This window comes from Homo sapiens, chromosome 11, assembly GCF_000001405.40.
Source record: "Homo sapiens chromosome 11, GRCh38.p14 Primary Assembly".
NCBI classification, from domain to species: domain Eukaryota; kingdom Metazoa; phylum Chordata; class Mammalia; order Primates; family Hominidae; genus Homo; species Homo sapiens.
The window spans coordinates 25,173,132-25,189,399 of NC_000011.10; positions in this window are offsets into that span (position 1 = coordinate 25,173,132).

The window sequence follows — 16,268 nt, forward strand, 5'->3', positions numbered from 1 at the left end:
CTGATTTTCAATGTGAAAATAAAATATAAAAACTGTTCTTGGAGTTATTTCATCAGAATCTCTTTTCTTTTTTTTTTTTTCTTTTGACAGTCTTGCTCTGTCGCGCAGGCTGGAGTGCAGAGGCACCATCTCAGCTCACTACACCCTCTACCTCACAGGTTCAAGAGATTCTCATGTCTCAACTCCCCGATTAGCTGAGATTACAGGTGTGCACCATCACACCCAGCTAATTTTTATATTTTTAGTAGAGAGGGTTTTCACCATGTAGGCCAGGCTGTTCTCGAACTCATGAGCTCAAGTGATCTGCCTGCCTTCATCTCCCAAAGTGCTGGGATTACAGGTGTGAGCCACCACACCCTGTCCTGTGGTTGTTTTTTAAACTACCTGTCTTTTTATTAGATTTCTCAGTCATATCCTAAGTTAGTTTTCTATTTTTCTGTATTTTTCCTCATAATTATCTTGTATCTCACCGAGTTTTTAAAAATAAATATTTTGAATTCTTTATCCTGAATTTTGAAAATGTGTTTTTGTTTAAGATCTATTGCTGGAGAATTATTTTATTTCTTCAAAAGTGTCATAATTTTCTGCTTCTTAATGTTTTCTCTTCCTTTACATTGATATCTTCACATCTGATGTAATAGTCATTTCTTTTTATTTTTGAATTTTCCCTCATAGGGAAAGACTTTTTCTTTTTCATTCTTTTTTTCTCTCTCTCTTTTTTTTTTTTAAGAATGTACAGGTTTGTTACATAGGTAAACATGATGTGCCATGGTGGTTTGCTTCACCTATCAACCAGTTACCGAAGTATCAAGCCCCACACGCATTAGCTATTTGTACTGATGCTCTCCCTCCCCTTACTGCCCGACAGGCTCCAGTGTGTGTTGTTTCCCTCCCTATGTTTATGTGTTCTCATTGTTCACCTCCCACTTATGCGTGAGAACACGCAGTGTTTGGTCTAATATCCAGAATTTACAAGGAACTTAAACAAATTTATAAGAAAAAAACAAAAACAACCTCATCAAAAAGTGGGCAAAGAACATGATCAGATACTTCTCAAAAGAAGACATTTCTTTGAAGATTTATCTGTGCTGATGGTTAGGTGGGGTACTTGACTTTGATTCTGTGTGTGTGCAATAGTGTAATCTCTGTATCATTTTGTTGGCTGTAAATAGCATTAGTGGTCTCTATGAATTTCTCAGTGTGCTAGGGTCTGGTTAAGAGTGGAGGCTGTTTTAAAGTTGTGCTGGGGATGGGGATGTCAGGTAGGCTAGTCTTCAGGCCTCAGCTGTGGCAGAGGTGAGCTGTGTATGCCTGTCTTTGTACCACAGGACAATATACACTGGCACTGGTATTGGCTGTTAGTAGTCGGCTGATTCTTTGGCCTCCTGGTGGCTTTCTTGGATGCTTGTAGTGAAAGTGGTAGATCTACTGGGCCAGTGGGTTCTCATGCCCTTCTGCACCCAGTGTGGCATGGGTGATGGCAGTAGCAGTGGTGGGATGATTCTATAGGTTTCAAATGTTGTATATTGATATTTGCAATGACTGCTATGAGCTGGGTGGGAATGTGTTTAGGCCTGCAGTTGCTACTTACAAGTAGTTGCCAGCTGAGGTGCAGCAGCCAAGTGTTTAGGTTTAACCTCAGGCCCCTCAGAGGAGTGCTTATGTGCCTATGATTATGGATTTGGTTGGGCAATTCCCAGGACCCCAGGCTATGTGCTCTGTTTTGGAGGGAATGGCGAAGCCACTCTGGGTGGACTAGGCCTCAGGCACCCTAATAATAAGAGTAGGTTCCAGCCCCAGTGGACAGGAGATGGGTGATTCTCAGGCCCCAGCAGAGGGCTCAGGTGAGGGCAGTAGCAGCCATGAAGAAGCCCTATTACTGGAGAAGGTGGGACCATTCACCTTTGCCACAGCCTGAGATATGGGTGGGGAACATATTTTTTCTTTATATTTCAGCCTCTGGTCTGGTGATCGTAGCCTGCACTTAACTTCTACACCCAATCAGGCTGCAGGAGCCTCCGCCCAACTCAAAACCAAGTCCCAGCAGCAATTCACATCCTCATCTCAAATCCCAGCAGCACTTGCTTCCTGGCACTGGCCAGTGTTGCCCCTGCCTCTCTTGCTTCCTAGCCCTGGCTGCAGAATGCTCCTAGCTCATTCCAAACTTGTTCTTCTATCTCAACAATTGACAGCACAACTTTTCGTATTGCCCCTATCCCAGTGCCACTGGATCCCAGGACAGCATGTAGTTTGCTAATGGTTAGGTTTGAAAATGATGTTTTGCTTTACCTGCTTTGGTCTGGTCTCAGAATGGATGTACGGCCCCTTACAAGCTCCCTCCCTGGGGAAGTTCTGTCCCACCATCTCCTGGCAGCTTTCTATTTCAGTTTCAGAGGTTGGGAGGGCCAAGCAGTTTTCCTGCAGCCAAGATCGCATGATTCCATGGTGGTAAGCCTCTTACTTTGGGTAAGCATTACTCTTATCTCCAGTTTATAGTAAGGAAATTGAGAGAATATTTAAAATGCCCAGGATCACACAGTGGCTAATTCAGAGATTTAGGCTTTGAAGACGGGATGTCTGGTTTTATATTCTGTGCTCTTAACCCCTATGCTATACAAATTGCCTAGCACAGAGTTCATGACCATTAAATACTTAAAACTCTCTCTTCCACTGACTTGGTTCATATACTAGACAACAAATTAATTTTAGGATGCATATTTAAAAATTCTTGTCACCAAATTTTAATAATCTGTGATCCCTTCTTGCTAATTAAAATCCAAAGCTGCTTAGCTTTCTGGCTATGGTATAAATCACCTCCTTTAATATTTTTCATCACATTTTTATCTCTTCTTCTGCAGAAGCCATCCCTGGATGATTGAAGTCTTTTTTCCACATCTTGTTGGAATGCTTTAAATATTTATAATTTTACTTTTTATTTAAAATTTAAAGTAACTTTTTTTCCTCTTTGATCTCATGATAATACACATTCTCCCAGTTTTATTTGTATCTCTATTATCAAGTTTTATTTTTTTTCCTGACCCCTACTGCACTGGCCTTCTAAATGTTGAAGTTTTTCCACCTGGACTAGATCTGTACATGTCTACATATTCATTTACATTACATCAGGAAAGCCAATATTTATCCGATAAAAATGCATATAACCAGAATTGGCACCACTGTTATTTCAGGGCACAGAGTAGATTTAAGGACTCACTGCTGAAGCCATCACCCCCTTATATTGCATGCCTTCTCTTTCACTGTATGTTTTATTCTCAATGATGTTTACACATTCGCCTTCCTGTGGTTACCAGCTCTCTCTATATATACACCTTTTTATAGTCTCTTAGCTTCGTTTTGTACTACTCCCACTGCTAAAGGATTCATTTTTTTGAGTTATCTAGCTCAGATTTTTAAGACAGTAGACATTTATGTTATGTGACACTTTCTGTGATCTGGCAGCTGCCTCCATCTATAGCCTCATTTTGAGTTATGTACTCCCAGGGTCACTGTATTCTATCATATTGCTCACTTTCTGGTACTAAAATGCCTCCAGACTTATCCCACCTCAGTTCCTCTGTTCCTGTTTTTTTTTTTTTTTTTCCTTCTGGAATAGCTTCTGCTCTAATTTTGCATGGCTAACACTTTCTCATCTAAAATAACACATTTCTTGACCATTTGATCTACTAAACCCTTTCAAAGACATTTCAAATTCCTCTAGTTTGTATACAGCATTTATAATTATCAAAATGTATGTTAACTGTTCGTTTATTTGATTTCCTTTTTAGTACATATTTCCTCCCATCAATACCAGAGCTCAAAGATCATGGCAAGAAAGACAGATTTTTTCTTTCATAATTATATCTGCAACACATTCTGCTCAATGTTTGACCAAGTTATTTTATTTTTAACATAAGTTAGCACTATTTAATAAGATATTAAACTAGACACATCTCCAAATTTTTTAATCATTTTAGTTAAAGTAAATATGTATTTTTCGTTTTTAAAATGCTTCCACTTAAACAAACTTCTATGAGCTGGGAAGATACAGAAATGTCCTGCTCATATCTGCCTGCAGGGAAGATTAGCTATCAGTATTTTGAAAACTGTTCTCATTTGTAGAGGGCCACTCTAGCCAAGGCAATGCTCTTCTCAAGGCAGCCCACATTTGGTAATCAAGATGTGATGTTAAAGATGCCTGGCCATTTTTTGATTTTATCTTCATTTCATTCTCAAGTATTGGTCCCTAATAGATAACTTACACTACTCCTCCTTTCTAAACCTAAAAGAGTTGATACAGGAAGTAGTTCAAGATGAAATTTGAGAGTAGAATCATTCACCACTAGCATGGCATTAAGGAACATACCCCTGGTAGTAGGTAGTTCAAAGTTGAAGTCAAATTGTTAAAATAATGTGGTGATGAATTGAAATTATCCCAGTAGGAGGAAATGCACAAGTAAATGTAATACTTCAGGCATTGAAGAGTTATATAAACAAAAATAGCAATAAATTAACTGATTAAGTGGCTACTGCCAAGCACCAATGATGCTCTACAGAAGATATGAAACATATGAGGGCAATAAACAGGCAATTGAAAGCCAGGTGTTAAAAAAAAAGCATCATTTAGCTGCATATGAAGAAACCTAATCTCCTGCAGAGAAAAAGTAGAGAAGGCCAAAAATCAAATACAGGAATTTGTATTCTGAAAAAATAAACATGAAATAAAATTAAATGCCCAACAAAGACAGCTTTAATATTCCAAGCTTATGTCCCTCTTGGGGAAATGCTAGGCTATTGAATATGACATAGAGATATAGAGAATAGCCCTGAAAATTCTGACTCCTTGAATTTTTAGCCTACAAAAGTCTTCATTCTTCTCTAGCGAAAGCCAGCACGTTTTCCTTGTTAGTTAACAATACAGAAGCTTTTCTTCCCCAAATAAATAACTGAACCCATACCCTCTCCATTCCTGGTCACAAGTCAGGTCAATAAATAATGTTATGTAGCATTAGGCCCTGGCATGGAGTGGGCTGGTTCTGATAGGAAAGTTAAAATTTGTACCTCAAAAAAGCCAGTGTAATACACATGATAATATATTCTCAAAATGCTTGATCAAGGGAGTTGGAACATAACATTAGATAGGAAGATTATTGATTTGGTTGCACTGTCCCAAGATTCCCTAGACTCTGGCAAGAAACCTAGAAAATGGTATGAATCTATTATTAGGATCACTTCTAGAATGGAACAAGTGACTTATACTGAGAAAAGATGAAATTTTGGAATATCCATTAGTGGAGCAGAAAGCTAATGGAGGTACTTATATTAGAATAAATATACTATGCATGTTCTGGAAGAACTAATAGATGTTGTATTCCATGAGGAGTCATAGGTTATACATTATTTACCAAAACCATTTAATATGTTGGTGAGAAGGCACAAGCATCACTCGGAATTCAGTGATGTTTCTCTTCTGTAGGTCAAGACTAACGGGTGGACTAATTTTTAGCCTACAAAAGTCTTAGATAATCTGGCTCACTGAGAGCAATGGAGGTAATAGAATCAAGCTTCCTCTCAACAGGGGGCAGGGGGCATCACTTAATCACACACTTCAGGTGAATACAATTATTACAATTCCCAGGAAGGTGAGAGTGTGAGTCAAGAGGTCGTGGACCACAGAGAATTACAGAGAAATATAATGGACACGGCATCCTGAGGGAAAAATAGATTGGTAGCATTAAGTGTATTCCTCTTATTGTGCCAGTAAAAAAATAATCAAGTATTAATAACCAATAGCTTGATAGTAGTTAACTCAATAAGAATGATCTTAATGTAGTCATTGGATCTTGGGTCTAAAGAACCAGCTCAATCCTGAGTAAGTATTGGACCCAAGGTCAATGATGGAAATATGTCTATGTCCCCAGGAGATAGAAACTTGTTAGACTAAGTATACATTATAATGAATTCCTCAGTTATTTCTCCAAGGAATTTAGGATCATTTATCTGCTAATTGCACAAAGGGGAAGAGGGAATAGTTAGACATTGTAAGTAATCTTGGACGTGAGGACTGAGTTGAATTTGAAACTCAGAAACTCAAAGTGTCAACATGATATCTCTCTGAAAGTGGAGTCATGTGAGATTCAGGTAATAAATGGAATCCTAGACAAGGTATGCTTTGTAAAGGGTTTACTTGGTTTGTAAACCCACCTATTGGCCATTTTCCTCTTCCATAAATGTACAATTGGTTTTGACATATTTGGTCATCCATAAATATACAATTGGTTTTGCAATATTTGGTAGGTGGTGCAACTCAAACATTGCTCTCTTTTTCTTTTGGAAAAGACCTATCATAGCAGGGAAGGGCAAATAAAAGGCTCTGAAACTACTTCCTCTAATCAAGCAATATTTTATCTCTCAGAGCATGATAGAGTTGGTATTACTCTTAAAGATATAACTATGGCGGTCTCCACTTAATTCCTGAGTCTGCTTCTATAGAAAACAGAGTACTACTAAAAGATGAATGCAGATCACTTCAAGTTCACCCAAATAGTAGCTTTGATTGCAGCAGCCTTATAATAACATGGCTAGGACAGATTACTATGACTTCAAGTATATATCATGTGGCCATTAATATGGCAAACTCATCATTTTCTACCCTAATCAATAATGAGGAACAGAATGAGTGTGCGCTTTCATAGAAAAGACAACAATATTTTTCCTCTTGGCCATGATAACTCTCCTACCTTCCTTTGCAGTATACTTTGAAAAAGTCTGAACAGTGTGGGTATTCTGAAAAATAACACATATACTTATTGCATTGATAATATTATGTTAATCTGGCCTGATGAGCAAGATATAGCTAACAAGCTGAAGGTCTTGTTATGACTCAAATACTGAAGTGTGTAGGAGAGAACCATACTGATATATTTAAGAGCCCCAAAAGGTCAGAGGCATGTCAGAACATCCCATATAAATGACAGACATTTTTGTGTTATTTGTATAACACATTTTTGTGTTATTTGTATAACACATTTTTGTGTTATTTGTATTTTAGTATTTTACACCTTCTACTACAAAGAAGAAAGCACAATGCTTGTTAGAGTTTTTTAGGTTTTGTGGAAAATACATTCAACATATTTGGATATTACTCTGGCCCATATACTGGGTGAAATAAAAGGCTTCCAACTTTGGGTGTGGCCTGGAAAAATAAAATAATATTCAGTAGTTCCAGACTGTGATGCAAGTAGTCCTAAATGTTATGCCATACAAGCTGGCATATGACATATGATTCAATATATTCCATGTGGAGTTTGTGGTAAGTGCCCATGAGAAAATTATAATGCTGACCCATGCGGTTCTAGACAAAGCCATGCCATCTGGAGTGAGAAGAATAATACTTTTTTTTTTTTTTTTTGGCAAAACAGTTCCTGTTATGCTATAAAGTGCTGGCAGACTTAACTCCTGAAACACCAAATGGCTATTTGGCCAGAACCACTCATAAACTTTTGTGGCTGAGCTACTAACTATTGTAAAAAGGAGGCATTATACCTGAGATTGTGTGCACACACATGACCAGGGGTTTCAGCAAACTATATGAGCAGGTAACCCGGACCCCCATGGGACTTACCACTCCTACCAATGTTCATTCTTCAATCTATACTTACAACTTATAGGTAATCTCAAGTATCCCCCTGGTGGAAATAAGCCTGAACTAATTTTATAGATAAGTCAATTCCATACATGAGTGCAAACTGAAAAACACATATCCACACTAAAGGTGACCTTGAAAGACAGTGGAAAGGAAAATGCTTTCCATTGGGCAGAAGTTCAAACATTGCATGTGTCTTTCAACCTTGTGTGAAAAGAGAAGCTTACCCAAATTTAGAACATATGCTCACTCATATTCATGGAAAATGACTTCTTGGCTAGTCAGAGGGCTAAACAAAAATATTTGAAGATTATAAATAAGTAGGTTCAGGAAATAGGCATATGGATAGATATATGGGCTTGGGCACAAAGTATAAAAATCTTTGTATCCTATATGAATGCCCATAATAGAGCATCTACTGTGATAGAGGCACTAAATACCCAAATAGATAGAATGATCTGTCCTGGTGGTATCAGCCACAGTGCCCATGGCCACTCCAGTAATAGCATAATAGGAAACTGGACCAACTGACCAAAATGGTGGAGATTGAAGAGATACATGAGCCTAAAAGCATGAATTCCCATTATCAAGTCTAATTTAGTTACTGTTGCTTCCACATGTCTAAAAACTGCTGGCTAGTAGACACCAGTGCTGAGCCTCTGATATAGAACTTCTCTTTGATATGACTAATCAGCCACTTGGTGTCAAGTTGATTATATGGGTCTCTTAATAGTTCCTGAGGTTTTTTTTCCTCAGGAATAGACACATATTCCATATATGACTATAATTTTCTTTCTCATGGGCTTCTAGGTAGCACCACTATCTGAAGATTTATTTAGTCTTTGATCCACTAGCGTGAGATCTGATATAATATTGCTCCAGACCAAGGAGGCATTTTACAGCCAAGGGGGTCTGTGAGACAGCCCATGATCATGATCATGAGATCTGTTGGTCATATCACATGTCAACCAAAACCAGGTGACCCGATAAAACATTGTAACAACCTGCTAAAGTCAAAGCTCAACCACCATATCAGAGGCAGTACTTTTTAAGGATGGATTGACACTGCATAGGATGCATATACACATTAAAGGAAAGATATAGGGTGCTGTCTCCCCAGTGCAGAAAATATATGGATTCTGGAACCACCAGGTGTTTGTAGTAATGCCCCACACTCCATAATTTCCTGTGAACCACTTGGGATAATTGTACTCCCATCCCTGCAACTCTGGTTGTGTAATACTAGAAATGCCATTCCCTAATGAAAGAAAGATTTTGCTAGAGGCTATGTGTTAATCTGGATTATAATCTATGGCTCCTGCTTGGACATTTTGCATCAATGGATTAGCAAGCAAGACAAGAAACTACTGCTTAGTAAAGGTAATAGATTTTAATAATCAGAAGGAAGCAGGGCTGCAATTTCATAGTAGGGGCAAAAAGGAATGCGTGTATGAGACTCAAATGATTCCCATTGCTGTCTCTTTATACCTTTATATTCATTCATGACTGTAAATGAAGAGGTACAATCATGCCAGCTTGGGAAGTGTATGGTAGACAGGGCTTTAAATACCTTGGGGATAAAGAACTTCAAAAGGTGTTTGCTGACAAAGGGGGATCTGAAATGGAGAATACAAGAGGGAAATCTGTGTGTCAATTGAAGCACTGAGAAAAACTCTAGTCACCTTTTTATCACCTTTCATTTTCATGTTTTCTCTCAGGAAGAGGACCAAAAACCCTAGAGGGTCAGACACTCAAATATATAGAGAAAAGTGGATTTGAGTAGACTTTCTTATGCTGACCATATCCATGTTCAAGAAAGTAGTTGCTGTCCAAGGGTGGAGAGAGAAGTATGCAGACAATATATAGGTGTGTGCTCCCCAGGGTCATTCTATTCAGGAGATGATCATTTCCCTCAATGCCATGTACTTCTCAGGGGAGCTTGCAGACAGTGATTTAGAGAGGCAGAGGTGTAAAGCCCTGCCATTTCAGCCTGTCTCAGGACAACTCTAACATGCTATATTCACTCCAGAAATCCCTTCGTGGTTTTTGAAGGCTTAGTTTAGTCTGTTTCAAAACTCAACTTCTTCTTGTTTGATCCTGTTTTCACACTGTTTGTGGATTCAATGTCTAATAGCATCCTATAGCCAATCTCCATCTCATGGTTACATTCTGGAAAAAACAACATAGAATAGTATGCTACCTCTTTTGGATACATTGGATGACTAGCCTTCTGCTAAAAGAAACAAATAGATGTCTCTTTATATAAAAGGTTATTAAATTTGAGATCATGGTTGGATCTTAGAAGGCCAGGGAATTCTAACCTATTTCAGGTAAGTGGTGTATAGATTTATGTAGTGGTGATTTACCTGTGTTTATTGCATGTTAATTTTTTCCAAGAATAGGAAGCACATATATTTACAAGAAGGAATACATAATTTTTACTCAATTTCCAAACTGTGTGTGATTAAAATAAGTTTGATTTACTGCCGTATATGCAGAAAGTATATTTTTTGATGATCTTAAATATCTAACTGCTTCAGAGATGACAGATAATAATTTAAACAGTTGAACATTTGTTCTATATATGTTCCAATAAATTAATAACATTTTTATTAACACTATGTGCAGATATAGAATTGAGGATAAAATGTTCATGAGCTGAGGGAAGTGTAAGAAAAACGGTGAATAAACCTCCTTCAGAAACTTCCACTAGAGATGTTTACCATATGGTTTTGTTTATATTATTTTATCTGTGAGGATACACAATATTTTTTTCACAAATAAGAAAAAGATGTTTTTTGATGTAGCCAGGAAGCATTTTGAAAGCATTTTCTGGCTTATGCTGCCAAAATTGAATTTGCTTCATATATTTGAGAATACCAGAGGCTAATTTCTTGGTAATTTTATTAATAAGTTACAGAATGTAAATTATATTCATTATGTTATTGAAGCTATTTCAAGATGTCTGAGGGTTTGGCAGTTACTTTCATACCCTGTAGCTTCCTGGACTTAGTAATTAATCAGCTTTGACTGCTCCAGATGTAACTGACTTTGAAGAATAATCTCACAAAAGATCACAATCACACAGATGCATTAGTTGTTTAGCATTCTTGTTTTTAAGATTTAAATAATCTTAGAGTCTTCATTTAAATTATTAAAATAAGTATAAATGTATTTTTATGCAAAGATTAGAATTTGCATAAGGATTAGAATTTCTTTGTTCAGTCCACTATTTTCCAATAGAAAGTAATAGTCACCGTATACTAATATGAATAACATTTTTAATTAACGTGCAAAGAATGCTAGAATTAATTTCAGTGATGCAGCACTGTAATGACATTCAATAAAAGAAACAAGGAAACTACTGAAGGTTATAGATACATATTTTCCAATTATTCTGACCATCTTCTATTCTTTCAAAAGAGGTGTGCTTCACTGATATTTGAATGTAAAAAGCTATGTTTAAATTGAAGAAGTTTCTGGAAATCTTGTCAGTAACATTGTCCTCAGAAAATACTTAAATATAACCCAAACATACATAACATTGAGTGAAATAAATCCAGACTTTCAAAAATAGTAAAAATTATCTAGTGATAGGGGTCCTGACAGGTGGCTATCTTCTCCCTTTATTATAGAGGAACAAATAAAATCAACTCAAAAAAGTCTATTTTAGTAGTAAAAAAAATAATCTGTCAGTAGAACGTTATTCTAGCTCCAGAGGAAAAACAGTTAATTTTCAAAGAGCCGATTATGGAATTTCCACAATATGGTGGAAATATAAGGCCAGCCTCACATACAGGCCAGCCTGGGGAATCATGGGCTGACATCACAGAAAATAATGTATTCTCCTAAGGAAAAACAAAACATATCTTTGTATTCTGGGATGGCCTCACTTTATCTTTATAACATCTTCAGTTGCAGATAGCAGGAAAGAGGCATTAATAAAAGGTAATGATTCACACATTTTAGCACTACTTTACAGTTGGGAAGCCTGAGACTTCTTGAGCACATGTGCTGACCCAGTGCAGCATTGTATTCCAACCAGGCAAGTCAATGGCAAAGGCAAGACAACAGCCCAGCTTCCAGCATTCTGTCCTAACCAGAGTCCTAACAAATTCTTTCCTCCTCCAGTATCTACCATCAAAAATACCACTTATGTCTCTAGTTGTTAAAATCTATTTTATACTGTGAAATGTTTATTTTTATTCTGTATTGTGTGTACTGTTAGATGCTTTCACATGTTGTGTTTAATCACTGTGAGATCCTGAATAGATTATGCTTATTGTCCCTATTACTCAGACAAGAAACAAATAGACAAAAGTTAGATGCACAGCCAGAAAAACATTATTTGTAGGAGTATAGGGATGGCATACAGATCTGACTCAGCGTCCTTTTCTCCTGAATATAAAAATCTGCCACTTTACATCCATTTATATATACAAATTTAGGGATACTCATTTTGAATTGCTATCTTTTCCTGGGAAATTAAACATTATAAACATTGTAAAATAATCTATTTCTAGTAATGATTTTTATACAAAGGTCTATTTTATCATCTATTAAATTGTGTGTGTGTGTGTGTGTGTGCGCATATTTGCATGCTATATAATTATTATTATTATTCTTAGAGACAGTCGGTCACCTAGGTTGGAGTGCAGTGACATGATCTTGGCTCACTGCAACCTCTGCCTCCCAGGTTCAAGCAATTCTCCTGCCTCAGCTTTCCAGGTAGCTGGGATGATAGGCACACACCACCATGCCCAGTTAATTTTTGTATTTTTAGAAGAAACGGAGTTTCAGCATGTTGGCAAAGCTGGTGCGGTCCATCTGGTTCAGCCTACCAAAATGCTGGGATTACAGGTATTTGCCACTGTGCCTACCTGCTATATTATTTTTTTATTTCCATTTCGGCATTTCTCCATCCTTATATTTCAACCAGCTGTGTCCCTTTTAATCTATATAGCAATTTTTTTATGCATTTAACATTCTTTATTTGTAATTGGAACATTTAGGTGCCTTAACTAAATTTAATCACTGATATACCTTTTTCCATCTTTTTTGATGGACCACTTAAAAGACATATTACATTTTCACTGTATTTCTTTCATAGTTACGTACTTATTTACTATTTTGTCTGGTGGTTACACAAAGGTTCAAACTTGTATCTTTATCTTATGAAACTCTAATGTTGAGTGATATTATTCTCTTCTTCCTGCAAAAGAAAAATATTTTTACCTACTTTCTAACATCTATGCTATTTTTCATGTAATTTATGTCTATAGTATTTAAACCCTAGTAGATATTACTATTTATATTATATATAGTCAATAGTCATTTAGATTATCCCATATATTTAGCCTTTCATTGATGTTATATTATTTTCTGTATCTCTGAAATTTCCTTTGAAATTACAACCCTCTGCAGGAGAAATATCCTTTAGTAGTTTCCTTGGTGCAGGTTTGCTGGTTGCAAAACCTCTATTTTTGTTTTAACATTCCTAAAACTGTATTTTGTTCTTGGTGTACATTTTCATTAAATGTTAAATTCTAGGCTAGCAGTTTTGTTTTTTAAGCACTTTAAAGGTATCATGGCATTATCTATTGGACTCAACCGATTACGTTGTAAAGTCATCTGCAACTCTACTCATTGCTCTTATAAATGTATTATCCACTTATTTTATCACTACTTTTGACATTTTTTTCTTTGTCCTTATGCTCACTAATACATCATAGTGTTGTGTTTTAATGTGGATTTATTTTTGTTTACAATTTGCATTAGGTTTCTTTATTTTGTGGATTCCTGTCTTATATCAGATTCTGAAAGTTTTTGACAAATATTTCTTGCAATGTTTTTCATCTTCATAATCACTTTCCCCTCTTTCCAGGACTCAAATTGCTTATGTTGGTCATATTCATTGTGTATAACTTTCTAACCATTACTCATCTAATTACGACACGGTAGCAGTCAGTGAGAAAAAAACTGTACCACGATTTTCATACTACTTGAAAATTGATGTCATTAGACATTAAATTTTCTTACCACAAACAAATGATAAGTATATGAGGTGACTGATATATTACTTTCATTTAATTATTTTGCCATGTATCAAAATATCATCAAATGTATCAAAATATCATGCTGTACACCATAAATACGTACAATTGTAATTGTATAGCATACCTTAGTGAAGCTTGGAGAGAAAAAGTGTTGCTAAAACTGTTGGACCTCTTTGAGGAACAATAAAAGTAACAGCCTCCTAGAAGTTTCCTTCTTAGTCTTTAACTTTTTCGTTTTCTTTATTTTTGATAGATCAAATATCATGGGACTAAATGATGTTAAAAACAGGTTGATTAAACTCTTCAATTATCTGATGAGAAAAAATTCTAGCAAGATCAAATGGGATGGGAAATGCTTTCTAAGCATTTCATGAAGAAGCTGGAGTTTGAGGTTCAATCTCTACAGTGATAAGCTCTAATCCAGTAATTATCTAAAATCCCATGTGCTTTCCTAAATACTTATTCTGAAGTGATAGACCTGAAGATCACCTTGGTAAGACAAGATTTTGAGCCTCTTTGGATTCAGTTTCTGCCTTTTTATTTGCGGTCAGTTAACTAGTTAGCATTTATTAATTGTCTTTTGTTTGTACCAGAGGTTCTAGGTTTATAATGTTTATTGGTGATTATCTAAGCTTAGAGTAGAAAAAATAAATAGGGTGTGTTCTCTGGACATGAATAAAGTAGTATCACCAAATATGTTTGTCAGAATTCCCAGAAATGGAAAAGTTTACATGTAAAAGTGTCGAAAGCCTTTGAAATATTGTCTGGGTGTTCATAATCCAAAGCATGGAAAAATAGTCACTTAATCCTCCAGTAGTAGGGTTTTGTTTCTCAGATTTTAGTTAGACATTTTCACATTTAAATTTTACTAATACATTTAATAATTTTTATTGAGTGCCTACTCTCTGCCAGACAACCAATGAAGAAATATGTATGTGCTTATTGTTAACATATTAATAGAGTTTACAGATCAAAAATGAAAAGGCCTTTTCTAACCATTTTTACTAATTTTCTGATGAGAAATAAAGGTCTCTGTAGGCATTGATGCAATGGATAAGGCTTTCAGAATTCTTGAAAGGGCTCTATTATGTATGGTTATGTTGTAACTTGACCTATTTTTCCAGTTCTGTCTCTTCACAAAGCCTTTTATTTTCTGCATTTGATTGCAGGAAGGTTGTAACTTTGATAATATCCTTTACCTTGATTTATTCTTTGTTAGAAATACTAAAGAGGTTGTAGCTCTTAGTTACCTGCTGATATCCAAAAAGATGTCAAGTTCCTTGTAATTAATTACTTACCCTCTGTGGCACATTAAAAAAAATGTTTTTTTTTAAATGATCAGAGAAAGTGCATAGAAATAACCCATTAAAAAAAAAGAAAAAAGCTTAAGAAGTCAGGTGGGCTCTTTATTAGGCCATAAAGAAGCTAAAGACTTTGTTTAGATACATCAAGAAAAATATAAAGCAGATGTAAAGTTGGGGAATATAGTTCAGCAAATTGATCATTTCCTTAAGGATGTCAAGGACAAATGTTGCCAGATTTTTTGACATGCTTGACCAACTCTTTTGGCTTATTAAATTTATGTTTGTTTATTTATTAAGAGATAACCAGAACACTAGTAATTTGAAGAGTTAATTGAGGCCAGAATAACCACAGTGCTAAGGCTTAGAAAACTTACAGTCTAATTATGAAGTTTACAATGAATGTTAATGATTGATATATAGTTGAGGTCATACAAGTTAGAAGACTGAAAAAAAAAAAGAAAAGAAAACAGAAAAGGCTTATGTGTAAAAGCTACAATTGCCAAAATATTGGTTACATTTTTATTGTCCAAAATAATGAGAGGTATCCGATATGAATATACAAATTAAATGTAGCTCCTACCTTCAATATAATATAATAGATTAAGTTGATAAGCAGCCATAACTGATATCATGGCACTAATAATCAAATAACACTGGGTTTTTGACAGATAATGACACACATTCTCATGTAATTGTTACAGTTACTCTGTAGAATAAGTATCATTATGGCCTACACTGTTGGGATCCTGCACAAAATACATTTCCCTTTCTTGTGGCCTCCCTATGTAATGGAAAAGGATTGTTAAATCCAATCTCAACAACTATGTTTCTTGATTTAGGGTTGGCCATGTGACTAAGTTCTGAACAATGATATCTAACTGGAAATCTGTTAGTAAGAGTGGGTTGCAGTCTTGAAAAGTTTTGTTTTCCTGATAAAAGGGAAGATCCATCGCTGGTACCTGTAACCCTCATGTGAAAATCTGGAGATTCAGCAGCCATCTTGTGACTATTAAAGGATAAAAGGAAGACAAATGCCAGTTCACTAAGGATGGTGGGGAAAAAATAAAGTTGCAGGTTGTATTTCTTCTGACACCAAACGACATTCGAATAAAAAATGGCAAATATTCCTAATGAGAAAAATCCATCTACATTTGTTTAAGCAGCTGTTACTTAGATATTTTGTTTCTTGTAGCTAAATACATTTCTGACAAACAATAATTTGTCTGACTTTTGATGTTATATTGTTCACTATGGCCTTAAGTGGAG